Raw genomic sequence first — 13668 nt, 5'->3', positions numbered from 1 at the left:
GGGTCTGTTCCCTTCACTGTTTTGCTCAAGGCTGTTCATGTCACAACAAATCCCAGATAAGCCCCAATTTGCTCAGAGAATCCAGCATTAGCTGACTGCCTTCCCAGGCCTCTCTCAAGGTGCCTGCAAAACTCTACTCATCACACCAGCTGCAGCCGCTGCTTAGCAGCCCCTCTTTGCTACCCTCTTGCTGCCTGCACCTCCTCAGCAAGATGTTTAGGGGCCCTCAACCTGGTTGGCATCCCTAGCAGAACAACATGTGCCTTTCGGTATCTGTGTGCAGGGGAGAAAACCCAGCACTAACCTTAGCTCTGGAGACAAGAGGCCTCGGGCCTGGCCTTCTATCCACACAGAAGCTCACTGTGCAGTGTTGGTGCTGAAACTCTCTCCATCAGCCTCAGTCAGCCTCAGCAACCAGAACTTCCCATACTTCCTGCATCAGAGGCCAGGCCTGTCTCCACTAGGGAGGCATTTGAGCACAAATGGAATGATATTAAACATTCGACAACCAGGTTGTCAAGGGCTGACCAATTGAATGGACACTGCCCACAGCCCACACACCAGCTGGGCATCAGCACTGGCTCCCTCCAACTTCCTTATTCACCAACTTTTATACTGAGCCCGAGGCCTTCCTCTGGCAGCTCTGGGACACTGATGCCTGCCTGCTCTGAACAAAGCCCTCTCCCCCATGTAAGGTCAGCACACGAGGGAATGAGTTGCCAATGGCTCAGTCAACATTTTCACCCTAAAGTCTACAGATACCATACAAATAAAGACTTTCCCTGTGGGCAAAAATTCACACAGGGTGACCTAGGGCAGGAGAGAGGACGGCAGATTGGGCAAGTGTTGGGCTATGATACACTCATTCAAACGGGAATACTCAACATGTGATGTTAAAACTGATGCAAAAGATGGCCCCGCCACTGACCATGAGACAAGCCCAAGCTCTAGGGGGACACACTGATCACAACTTCAGGAGTCAGCACATTGAGGCAGATTCTGTGCGTGGCCCAGCTTTTGCCCTGCCTCCACCCTGAGCTCACAGCCAGCCTTCTGCTGTGTGTGCACAAGAATGAACTTCTACTCTAAAGGGGCAGTGAAGAGATGCCACATGCCACAAAGAACATGAGGGAGTCCATGGCACCCTCCCTGTAGCCCTAGCTGGATTTTTCAAAAATTTCATTGTATATATTTGAGGGATAGAACATGACGTTGTAAGATATATATATGTAGTAAAATGGTTACTGTAACGGAACAAATTAACATATTCATTATTTTACAAAGTTACCCATCCCCCGCCACCATGGCAAGAGCAGCTGCAATCTACTAATTTAGGAAAAATCCTCAGTACAATACACTGTTATTAACTATAGTCCTCAGGTTGTACATCAGATCTTTTGACTTACTCACCCTATGTATTTTCTACTTTACATTCTTTGACCTGTATCTCCCTAGACACCCCCCTCAACTACTTTTCTAGTTCCTATGTCAATATATTTGACCTCTTTTTTGGGGGGGGATTCCACATATAAATGAGTAAGTGCAATAATTTTCTTTTTGTGTCTGGCCTATTTACTTAGTCATCAGGGAAATGCAAATCAAAACCACGGTGAGATACCACCTCACACCTGTTAAGATGGCTATTACCAAAAAGACAAGAGATAGCAAGTGTTGGTAAAGATGTGGAGAAAAGGAGAAACTTTCTAGACTGTTGATGGGAATGTAAATTGATGCAGCTATTATGAAAAATATTACAGAGTTTCCTAAAGAAACCAGCTGAATTTTACAACGAATCCTGCCCTTTAAGTTTGGGAGAGGTCATGTGGACAGCCATGGGAGACGTGATACGATAAGATCGTCCCATGCCCTCTTTCATGACCCAGTCTAGGAAGATATTTTGAGATGCTCAAGTAATCTGCGTTTCTAGTACTGTTCCGAAGACCTTAGTGCACAGAACATGATTTGTTTAGGGGCTTATGAGGAAGGAGGCTGAGAGGCTAAACATTGAGCTCAATTTTTAACTGAATTTTTAACTTCATAAATTTCAGCCTGTTTTTCTATCCATCAGTGCACTCAAGTGACCTCAGTGGATGCCATGTGAGGCACAGGTATATTTCCAGTTGGAGAGAATGGGTTGTCTGATGTCAGGACACCCAGTGTCTAGATCTGGCTGAACATAATTGCAATGAGGTCATGTTGAGAACTATTTGGTTCATGGGGTTGGTTCTATGTAAAGAATTGAGACCTGCCTGTCTGCTCTCAGACTAACATAGGATGAAGAAACCAACATTCACCAAGTGCTCCTGGCACTTCCCGTAAGTCACTGTTTAATCCAGTAAATTCTCATTGCAGTTCTGTGAGAGGCACCATTAGCCCTCCCACAGATGAGGAAACAAAGGTCTAGGATAATTAAACACTGAGTTCCCAGTCAGACAGCTGTCCAGAGTTGACCATGACATTCACAACCAGGCCCATTCCCTTCAAGGTGAGCTACAGCAAGGCCAACCCCTCTGAGTTCACTGCAGACACTAACACAGCCCTTACTGCTGGAGTTCTTATTGATGCTTAGCTCCATCACAAAACTAAGGAGGCCAGAGTGCTGGACTCGCCCCTGCCAGTGCCAAGCAGCTGCCCTGTGTCAAGCCTTCTTAGCCAGGCCAGGAATCTCAGAAACAGACACTACTGGGCACACAGTAAGAATGGATCATCCCTTATTAATGGGGAAAAAAATTCCCTGAAGTGAATCTTTTGGGTAGAGTGCCGTTCAGCTGTATTTTGCATGAAAATCATCTTTCAAAAAAAAGTGACATGTTCACCAACCCACACTGACCTTGCTTTGTGAACTTGCCAAATAGTCTCATACCCCCATAATTTTACACTTTCTTTCCCTTATGAAATCCTTCTAAACATCTCCTGAGACACCAATATCCTCAGCTCAAATTACTTCCTCCTTTGGACTCTAGAGAATTTCCTATACACCTCTGTTGTAGCATCACTCACTGCTTCCAGTCACCTCTGCATGCTCTGTCCCTCCCACCAGACTTCTATGGAAAAAGGGTCAGGTTTGAATTCTCCTCTTAAAGTAAAGCACCTAGCCCAGTGCCTGGTACATAATGCTGGGCTTGTGTGTTGAATCTTACTTATTAACGTGCATGTATATTCCCAGATGGAAGGGGTCTGAAATACCGTAGCACTGTGAAATACATTGAGCTTTGCTCCTGTAAAAGTGCCTCTGAGTAACCTTCGGCAGACAAGAGAGGGATCACCTTCAAAGAACTCAACCAAGCCATTTGCTCATCCCCATCTTCCCCCACACCCGCTCCGCTCCCGCAGTCTAAACCAAACCCTACGTCTGCCTTTGGACGCCCTCTGGTGGCGCTTTAGGATAATGACCACACAAAAGTGCAGAAGGAGTTGGGGGTAGGCTCTTTATTAGACGGTTATTGCTGTACTACAGGGTCAGAGTGCAGTGTAAGCAGTGTCAGAGGCCCGCGTTCAGCCCAAGAATGTGGATTTTCTCTCCCTATTGATCACAGTGGGTGGGTTTCTTCAGAAAAGCCCCAGAGGCAGGGACCAGTGAGCTCCAAGGTTAGAAGTGGAACTGGAAGGCTTCAGTCACATGCTGCTTCCACGCTTCCAGGCTGGGCAGCAAGGAGGAGATGCCCATGACGTGCCAGGTCTCCCCATCTGACACCAGTGAAGTCTGGTAGGACAGCAGCCGCACGCCTGCCTCTGCCAGGAGGCCTGGAAATAGAAGAAACTCCTGGTTGGCACAGGGGATAGGGGAAAAAGGAGCGAGGGATTGGGAGCAGAATCAGAAGTTCAAAGCTTTTGTGATCAAAGGTGCAATGAGCGGATGATGGTCTCAGAATCAAAGAGCTGAGATGGGAGAGCAACAGGGCATCTGCTCAGCTTCCATGGATATTCCTGACTCTCTGGGAACACCATGACCATCAGCTGTAGCTCTTGACTTTCTGATTGCCAGTTTTATCCAGCCAACAGCAAGGGAGAAAAGCAGGGAAGTTCCCTTGGGCAGCCAGAAAGAATGGTGAAATTAGGCCCTTCAGGGTTTGAAGGCACACCCTCCGCCAAACATGGACGTGTGCCAAAACCCCTAGCAGCCCAAGCCCCAGCTGACTGGGGCAGGTCCAAGACGCCTACCATGGCTGGAGGCTTTGTAGGTTTTGCTGCAGCTGGGCTGGCCACCAGGGACAGCCACAGGGCCAGCAGGTAGGAGTAAGAAACCTGCACTCAATGTCCCTGAGCTCCTGGGCTATGGCTCCACAAGCTGGTCCAGTGTACCTAACATGGCAAGCTGAGGATCCACAGCTGGGCAGGAATAGAGGCTATGGCCCCACCCCTGCCATGCTGCTCTGTGACCCTGGATAAGGCACTTTCCCTCTTTGAACTGAGTATCCACTCCCTGAAGGTTCTGAAAACTGGCATCAGACCCTCTGTATGGTGCAGATCCAGAGACACCCTGGGACATGAAGAGGGGCTAAAGGAAGGTGGGTAGAGTTCAATTCCAGGGCAGACCCCACCCCAGCCTCAAGGACACCAGCCAGCCCTACAGGGCCCTCCTCACCAATCATGGTAGGCAGCATTGCAGGGTCAGAGGTCTGAGTCCGGAATAGGAGCAGGGGCAGGTCCCTGCGGAGAGGCACTTCTGGCCTGAAGACAGCTCCATTGAGCCCCTGCAGTACAGGCGTAGTGCCTTGGACCAAGCCCACAGCCTGGTAAGGGGCGCCTGCCAGGGCCACGGCCAGGAGGCATTCCCCGAAGCCTTGCTCCCCTGGTGCAGCAGGGCTGTGGGAGGTGGTGACCTGTGTGGAGAAGGCAAGGTGACTGTTACACCTCCTGGCTGCACCACGTCCACCCTCCTCTCTTGGCCAAATCACCCATTGGTAGGATGTAGGGCTCCAGCCTGGATAATGTGCTCAGTAATTCAGGACCAGAAGGGAGAGGGCAAATGGGCCAAGCTGTGTGCCCTTCGGCATCAGCTTCCTGGAACAGCCAATGATCTCCTTAAAGGGAGGGCAAAGAGATCTGCCAGGCACAGGCGAAGGCTTGGAGGAAAACAGGGAGGAAAGAAAAGCAGGGAGGCAGGGCTGTGAGGAGACTCCACTCTGGCCCCTCCTGCTCTGACACAGCCTCCTGCACGGCATCAGTGGCATGACTGGCATGCAGGAGTGGAGGGGAGCAGAGGGGTGAGGACATGGCAGCTCTACTGCCTATCCCTTCTGCCAGCTCCCACTGGCTGAGCAACAGGCTTTGAAACAGACTTTGATCTAAACAGGGAACCAGAGGGGAAGGCGCCAACGGGAAGCCGTGCAAGGCAGCAGGGCTCCTAGAGCTTGCAAGTGAATCAAGAACCCGGGTGCTACGGCATGAGGAGCCCTGAGGGGAGTTAGGCAGAGTCAAACATGGCCTGGCAGCCATGTCGGGCAGAGTCAAACACACTAGCTCGTCATTTTCTTTGGCTGTGAAATGGGGACACTTCTACTGCCTCCATTCCCACAGCACTCATACACAAAGCAGTGCCATTAGCAACACTCGGGGCCAGGCAGTATCTTCATTTTGCAGTTGAAGAAACTGCAGCTACCCCTCACAGGTAGACAGGCCGATGCAAGGCTGGGACCTAGGCCTCCGCTCAGAGAACGGGCTCTGGAAATGTGGGGGAGAAGACTAGTGCTGACAGGGATGGGGAGGCAGCGTGGGGGAGAGGGGCGCACATTGAGGCCAGCCTCTTTCACCAGCAGCTTAGCGTTCACCAAGTTCACATCCGCCTGCTTGGAAGCCTCTTTCAGGAGGCCGACAATGACTGCGGGGCTTAGGCAGTTCCCAGCATTCTTCAGGGATGTTCCTGGGGACAGAGAGAAGCTACCATGAGGTCACTGTTTGTTGAGCACTACAGGAGGGGGCAGGAAGCCACTGGCACCTAGCTCTGGACTATGGGCTCCTCGCTGCCCTGGGGACCCCAAAGGCAGCTTGCTCCAGGCAGGTCCACTCGCCCTTCAGTGGGCTCAGAAGAGGCATAATCTGGGCCCAAGCCAGGAAACCCAGGATGTTTTAACCACCCTGAGAAACTCCTCTCCAAAACTCAGCTCAACTCCACTCCGCTCCCCAACCCTGCACCTGGCTTGGCCATCCTGGCCTACCTATTATTCTCCCAGGGGACACAGGAAAATTCCCTACTCTTACCCCTTCCTGGCACTCAGAGCCTTGCCAGCCTCAGGAAATCAAAGCAGAAAGAAGTAACCGAAGCAACTGCTGCCCAGCTCCCTGCCTTGTTTCCTTCGGCGCTTGGACACCCAGGCCAGTGGGACCCCCTGGCTCTGCCCTTCCCTGGTATTGTCAATGCCTAGGGTTTAGCTGCCCTCTCCCTGCAATCTCTGCCCAACTGTGAGACACCCAAGAGTCCATGGGGAAAGATACACGTCTACAGGGTTAAGGAAACTGGAGCCCTCCTTGGTCACTCAACCACATCCGCACAGTACTGGATCCACTGCAAAGGTGGCCACAGCCCACTCAGCAGCCCGAGGGGTGGTCAGAGGGCACTGTTCTCATTCCCACTCCACGGCTGAGCAAACTCTCTCTCGAGGGCTGTCAGACGGCCCAAGGTACCACCTTAGTAAGTTACAGAGCACAAAGTGTCCTCACCGCTCCTGGCTCATCTGCCCCTAACTCTCACTTTACAAGTGAAGAATCCAAGCCTCAGAAGGGAGAGTCACACAGCAGGGAAGAGACAGGGCCAAAAACCAGAATCCAGCATCCTGTTGCTTAATTAGGGCCTCCCTCCAGCCATCCTACGACCTCTCGCATGAAACTCTCTCTCTCGTAGAGGTTTCTCTTGCACCCAAAATATCTAGGTCTTAAAAATGCTACATAAACATGATTTATGAATATTCAGTACATCTTTCCAACGACTTTTTTTAACCCCTCCCTTTACCACCCTCCCACCAGTAGTAAGGGAGCTATACTCAGGGCAGGGTCCAAGGCACCCTCACTGCCTCTCACTAACCCTGTGTCCTGCAGCAAATACACCCAGCAGGGCAGATCCCACACTCCCTCATCCCCTCCTCCCCCTCCCTCTGCAAGGTCCCCAGCTCACCCTGTGTTATCACCTGGATGGTCCCTTTGGGGGACCCAGCCCAGGCTCGCATCAGTGTCCCCAGAGCTTCTGCCAGACCAATCCAAGGCTTGGTGTGTGGAGAGAAGGCACTGGTAAGGGCCTGGGCATTCACCTGCAGAGGATGGAGGAGCGGGGCTGTGGTCAGGAAGAGGCATGGCAGATCCTGAATCAAGATCTGGCTGCCAAGACCCAGCTCCACAAGAAAGACAGTATAGGGTCACTCCTGCCTTGGTGCCTGGTGGGTGACAACTTCCATCAGCCACTAACAACAGGACAAGGACTTGTTCCTACAAATGAAGAAAGCTGTGGAGCCAGAAATGGACACAGAATGCCACAACCACTCAAAATTGCTCCTTTCAGCAAACTGTGTCTGCCCCAGCCCCCTCCATGGGAGACTTGTTTCTGCACTGGGGAAGGGATTGGACAGCACAATAAAGGTGAGTCTTTGACACAAAACATATGGGAGTCGCAGATAACTTGGATGAGGAGTGACGGGTCTTCTCTGGCAGTCCCAACTTGCCTTCATTTTTATTTTCTATCTTGAATTTTTTTAAGTGTTTACATTGTTACTAAACACTACGATCAATTATCACAAAGTTTTGATGATCGTGCTTCAAATATCAACGCATGCGAAGTCCACTGTGAGGCATGTTGTGACACTGAGGGGACACAAGCCCCATATCCCCCAAAAGTTATGTCTAGGACCTGGCTGGCTGCCCCCTGCCCCACCCAGGGGCCTGATAACAGAACCAGCTTGTTCTGGGCCAAAATTTCAATTCCATTTTGTGGTTCAAAATGCTCTGGTTCTGAGTTAGGCATCTGGCCACTTTTATTGAGATAACTTGTAAAGTCAACCATCTTAGAAAGATGCAAATCAAACAGGCAGCTACAAGATGTAATTAGAAGGAAACACAGATGCTTCTCTTTCTGTTTTCATAAAGATATCATTGGAAGAATTTTTTTTTTTTTAAACAGAGAAAGAATCATGGTATGGGAAATGACTGCTGAGGCCGGGCTTCACGGGAGCCTCTCCAGTGTGGGAGGTGACAGGTCTGCAGGCTTCTTGCTGCATGGCTCCTGGATCCTCTCCAAGGAGTCACAGACAAGAAGGGTGGTGGGGTGGAGCAGCTAGCTGCTGGGAGGAGATCTGGAGCACCATGCTGCCACTGCCGGGGCTGAGGGCCTGCAGCAGCAGAGGAAAGTCCAACTAAGAGGGCCCATAACGCAGGCACCTCGGCACATCTCTCTGTCCTCTGTGTGGGCCTGCAGAGCCCAAGCCCGGGGAGGTGTCCATCACAGGGCTCCCAAGTAAAAGGAGGATTCTCAGTCTTCCCTGGTGGACAGGTGGGAGAATTCCAGGGAGGAGTCAGGCACTTTGGGACACCAACCTGACCCTAATGTTATTCTGTGTCTGAGGTTAGAACAGAATTGAACTGGGGAAAATGCAGGGAAGAATTAGGAAAATATATTTCTTATGTGACAAAAATGTCTCTTTTTCCAAATGGCTACTCTAAGACTATTTGCTGATGTGGGTGAACAGTTCAATTTGCTAAGGGTAGTTATTTTGACCAAGAGGTTTCACCTCCTAAGATGGGGACACTGTGTGGTCCATTTGATGGAACTCTGTGTCCTGCAGCAGATACACCCAGCAGGGCAGAGCCCATACACCTCTCACCCCCTCCTCCCCATCTCTCTGCAAGGTCCCCCTCCCTCCCCCACCCCCTCGCTCTGCCAGAGCTTATATTCAGGAGTCCCTTTCAGGAAAAGCTCTGGAATGTCACTGCTACCTAATGGTAATGGCAATAAATTGCAAGGCTGCGATGGGGAAGGCAGACAGCTGCTTTCTGAGAAGGCTGAAAGGGTAAAACCCTGAAGCCCAGATTGGCTGGCAATGGTGATGAGCTCAAACCTCAGCCTGGGAAACGAGCAGCATCTCCTGGGAGGAACGAACCTGCTCAGAGGCCGACCAGGTGCAAGATGAGTGAAGTGTGCTCTGCCCTGAGGAGCCCACACAGCATAGAGGACAGAGGATGCAGACAGGTCAGAGTCTCTGCTGACCTCCTCGCATGCTGCTGGTCATAGCCCTGCTGACTTCCATGGACTGTGTGGGGCTGCTGGGCAGCAGGAGGCACCCTTCTTTCCTCAGGATGGAGGGGGCAGAGAGGCCTGGAGGGCTGGGCTCTCAATCCAGAGGTGGGAGGGCAGAACCAAAATCCCCGTCTCTCCTGCCACAGTGCTGTCCTCACCAGCGAAAATCACCCAGCTGAGGGTCAGCCAGGACAACCAAGAACACCCAGCCCATTTTCCTGACCCTTTGACTCCATGGCCTGGGCCCACCCACACAAGCTGCAGAGAGGCTTAAGTCATGTTTTTTTGTCCTCAGGGAACTTAGAACTTAGGTTAAGTAGAAAGATTAGGGAAAAAAAAAAACACCCCATGGAACTGAACCTTAATAACAAGAAAGAACATGGTTCTCAGAATTGAGAAGGGGCTGGAAAGGCCAAGCAAGACTTCAGAAGGAGGCAGCAAGCCCCTGGAAGGAGAGCTATGCCTCCCTCATGCACCCGTGTCTCCCAAGAGCTATGACAATGTCTGGTACCCAGTGAAACTTAAGGAATATCCACAGACTGAATGAATGAGACAGGACTTGAAGTGTAAGTCAGGTTAAGCTCGTAGGAGACGCACATGCCAGGAAGGGCTTGATGGAAGCAAAGACAAGAAGTGGGGGTCTTATGCCTTGATTTGGGGAAAGCAAGGGGGTCAGCCAGCACAGAGGGCTCATTTGGGAGTAGGTAGGGCAGGCTGTCAAGGCAGGGTCTGGGGAGCTTACAGGGTGCAAATTTCTACATGGCCGTCCCCAACCACATCCCCACCTGCTGCGGCTGCGTCCAGCTGGCACCCAAGCAGCACTCCTTCACTCCCACGGCATGTGGAGAACAAAGGAGCCTTTCTCTAGAGGCTGGGCCTGGGAAGGGCCACAATCTCTGCAGCAAGACTACGATATAACAGGCCTGAGCCGGGCTCTCTGCTGCCAAGGCCTCTGCTATCAAGGCTGGAGACGGGAGGCTCCCGCCCACCTGCTCCGGAGAGTGCTGACTCAAGCAGATTTCCCTTATCTTCAGCTCCCAGGGCTGAATCTATTCACCCACGCTGCCACCAGCCCCTACAAGATGCCTTCCTTCCTCTCCTCCCTCTGACTCCTGGCCCCCAGCCCCAGGTGGTGATACTTACAACCCCCGTGAGAGATTTCCCCTTCACCATGTCCACGAACTGAACAGCAATTTCCTCCCCACAGCGGCTCTGAGCCTCCTTGGTGCTGGCACCCAGGTGGGGACAGCTGATGACATTCTCATGGTCCACCAAGGCCCGGTCCCGTGGCGGCTCCTGCCCAGAAAGAGATACCTCTAAGTTGGCTGCCATGGACTGGCCACACCCTCTTGGGCCACCCCAGGCAACAGGAAAGTTGGAGGGAAGGCAGTCAGGAGTTCTGGTGCCTTCCACTTCTATTTTGTCAGGGTGGTCACTGGACTCAATAATGGGCTTCCACATGAATGTTCCATCTCAGCAGAGTGGACACAGCACAAAGTGTGAACCAGATTCAAATCTCACCTTCACCACTTAACCACCTAGGTGCCTTGGGGGTGAACCTTGATCTAAGCCTCAGTTTCTTTATCTGTGAAATGGGTTGATCCTATCTCCCTCATAACATTACTGTGGGGATTATGCACCTTTAACATGGGAGGCCCTTGACCAATAGGAGCTACTGTTGTTGTTGTTACTGGGCTTTTCCCCGAAACTCACCCCCCTGCATCCATGCAGCACTTGCTGTCGATGTGCCTTGCTGGACTTTTAGCACAGTGTCCTGCTCTTCCAAGACACTCCACGCAGGTAACTGCATCTTGGCTCTCATCAGGACAGGTTGCCCATCTGTGGCACCTCCACCCCACCCTCCAGTGTCTTTTCCACCCTTCTGCTCACTGAGAAGATTGCCCTTGGGTATGTTATTTAGGCATCTTCCGGCCATTCTCCTCAGGGCTCTGTTGGTCCCATTGAATTTTGACCATTTAACCCTGTGAGTCCTGGCCACATGTAACCATGTAATCCTGTGAGTCCCGGCCACATGTAACCATGTAAGTACCACCAGCAAGTGGTTCAAGGATGCTGAAGAGAGCAGGAGAAGGTGCTGTGTTAGGGAGGATGGTGATACAAAGATGGACAAGGCTTGCCCTGCCTTCAGGGAGCTTATGATCTAAGAGCTGAGAAAGATGACCAAGGTTACAAACCAAAAGGCACTGTGTGCCCTGGGCTGGGAGTACACAGTGAGTGCTACAGGGGCTCAGAGAGGGCCAGTGACCTTCCAAGGACACACAGCTAGTAACCTGCGAACCACAACTACCTAATCCAAAGTCCATGTCCTTTCCCCTTCCTCACCAGGGGAAGCTCCAATGTTGGGGACAGGATCTTTCAGGAGAGGAGCCAAAAGGATTCGAGTGCAAATGCACTCTTCCCTACTGGATCTGGTGTGAGGCTGAGCCTCTGCTCCAGCTGGGAAAGCAGCCCACCCCGAGGACCCTGAGGGAATACTGCCAGTATCCTCGGGCTTCTGTCCACCCAGCAAGAGAAGAAGGGAAAAAGAATGCCCATGGACACTGAAAAGGACATTTTCTTGGCAATGGGACTGCATTTCCATCAGGGTCCCTCAACTATACACTAAAGCCCCCTCTCTTCCTGCTCCAGACCCTCAACTTCAGAACTGATTTGTGGCTTTATCTTTGTCAATATGTTAGCAGTCTGAGAAGCCCGGAACCAGGAACTGGGTCCCCTTTAAAGCCCGAGTTTTGCAGAAAACCACATAGCTGCCTCCATACCAGGCTCCGCAAGGACTCCTCAAACCACAAAGGTGTGTTTTTGGCAACACAGTTTTCTCCTTTTACCATGGATGAAAGAGACAATAAGCTAGAGGCTTTCTGTAAAACGCCAGGCTTTCCCTGCCATGGGCCTCTCTGCTCCCTATCTCTCCCGTCCTCCTGACGCTGAGGCTGCCAGGCACTTACTTCCGTAAACACGTCCAGTGCAGCCCCGGCACACTGGCCAGACTGCAGGGCCCGGAGCAGGGCGCCTTCGTCCACGATCCCTCCACGGGCACAGTTCACCACACGCACCCCCTTCTTGCACTGGGCAAAGGTGTTGTCATTCAGCAAGCCTGGAAGAAAGCGAAGCATCTTCCTGCTGGGGCAGCACCAGGATCCCCACGCTCATCCCTGGCTTCCAGAGGTCTTCCCTTTCCTTGAGCCAGCTCTTTCCCAGAGCCTCTCTCCTGCTGGACGGCAGCCTCTTTGCTCTCATCTCTTCCTCCTCAGATGCTCTGGGGCAGGAGTCCCTGTTATGGATCTGGGCCAGACTCAGTTTAGAAACATCTTAGAAATTCTTGAGATATTACTGTTTCAAGTGGGTCTGGGAATCAGAAAGCCCTGCAGGGGCTGCAGAAAGCATCCATGGGGGTCACTGGTTGTCCCTGTGCCCAGCTTACCTAGACCCCAAGCACTTCTAGCTGGCTCACCCTCCCCTATCCAACGTAGGGGTGTCTAACAAAACACCAGCCTCTGCAGGACCCAGGTGGACCTCTCCCCACAGCTGGTTACCACTGTCTGGGGAAGGCCCAGATGGAGGGCCCATTTGTTAACTGGTCTGTGGCTTCTGTGACCAATCCACAATGTAAGGACACACCTACCTGTCGTGGAGGGCAGGAGAGGAGTGTGCACAGTGATGAAATCACAGAGAGGCCAGATCTCCTCCAGGGGCAGCTGCTGAACACCAAAGGAGGCCGAGACCTCTGGGGAAATGATGGGGTCATACCCTATAGTCTGGTTGGAAGCAAGAGAGAGGGAGGAAGTGTCATTCTTAATTATTAGTATTGTTATTATTAAGAATGGCAAACATTTTTTGAGCATTTACCATATACTAACTACCATGCTCAGCTTAATTAATTCTCCAGTTAATTTACCATACACTAAGTACCATGTTCCACATACTAAGTACTATTTACCATATACTAAGTACCATGATCAGCTTAATTAATTCTCATGACCACACAATGATGCTGGGACTGTTCTTGTCTGCTTGAGAGCTGAGGGAAGCAGGGCTTCCACAATGAGGAGGGGCACAGCCAGAGCTCAAAAGAAGGTGCGTCTGCCTCCATGCTGTGATCACACACAGATGCAACAATAGCTCATATAGGTCTGGACAAGGTGGAGCTTGGAAGTCCTTAGAAAGCAGGGAGTCCTGAGGGAGGGAGGGCAGTCATGTAGGGAGCGGACAGCCAGGAAAGGGAGAAGGAGAAATGGCAGCTGCAGCTGGAGGGTCCAGTCCAGGAAACAGGTGCATCAGGTACTAAAACAGAGTGAGCAGAAGCGAAGGAGGAGGACAACAGGGGTACAAGGCAGGACCCAGAGTGGGAGCAAGACTGCATGCCCTCTAAATCAGGAAGCCTGACCTGTGTCCTCCCCCAGTCACTGCCCACTGTGTGGAAAGGTACA

General features: G+C 51.6%; 1 protein-coding gene across 7 annotated transcripts in view; it reads right to left on the bottom strand.

Moving 5' to 3' along the window:
* PHGDH (phosphoglycerate dehydrogenase) overlaps positions 3415-13668 on the bottom strand; it is a 32282-nt gene continuing 22028 nt past the window's right edge. For all 7 annotated transcript variants that reach the window (XM_011541226.3, NM_006623.4, XM_011541227.3 and 4 more), the window contains 7 exons: positions 12864-12996; positions 12187-12335; positions 10364-10516; positions 7112-7244; positions 5733-5863; positions 4586-4823; positions 3415-3744 (listed from right to left, as the gene is read on the bottom strand). In XM_011541226.3, coding sequence (XP_011539528.1) covers positions 3590-3744; positions 4586-4823; positions 5733-5863; positions 7112-7244; positions 10364-10516; positions 12187-12335; positions 12864-12996 — 1092 coding nt within the window. In that variant the 3' untranslated portion in view covers positions 3415-3589. The remainder of the gene's footprint in view (positions 3745-4585; positions 4824-5732; positions 5864-7111; positions 7245-10363; positions 10517-12186; positions 12336-12863; positions 12997-13668) is intronic.

The sequence above is a fragment of the Homo sapiens genome, chromosome 1, assembly GCF_000001405.40.
Source record: "Homo sapiens chromosome 1, GRCh38.p14 Primary Assembly".
NCBI classification, from domain to species: domain Eukaryota; kingdom Metazoa; phylum Chordata; class Mammalia; order Primates; family Hominidae; genus Homo; species Homo sapiens.
Note: the sequence above shows the minus strand (reverse complement) of the source record. Positions and strands in the feature narration are given on the sequence as shown.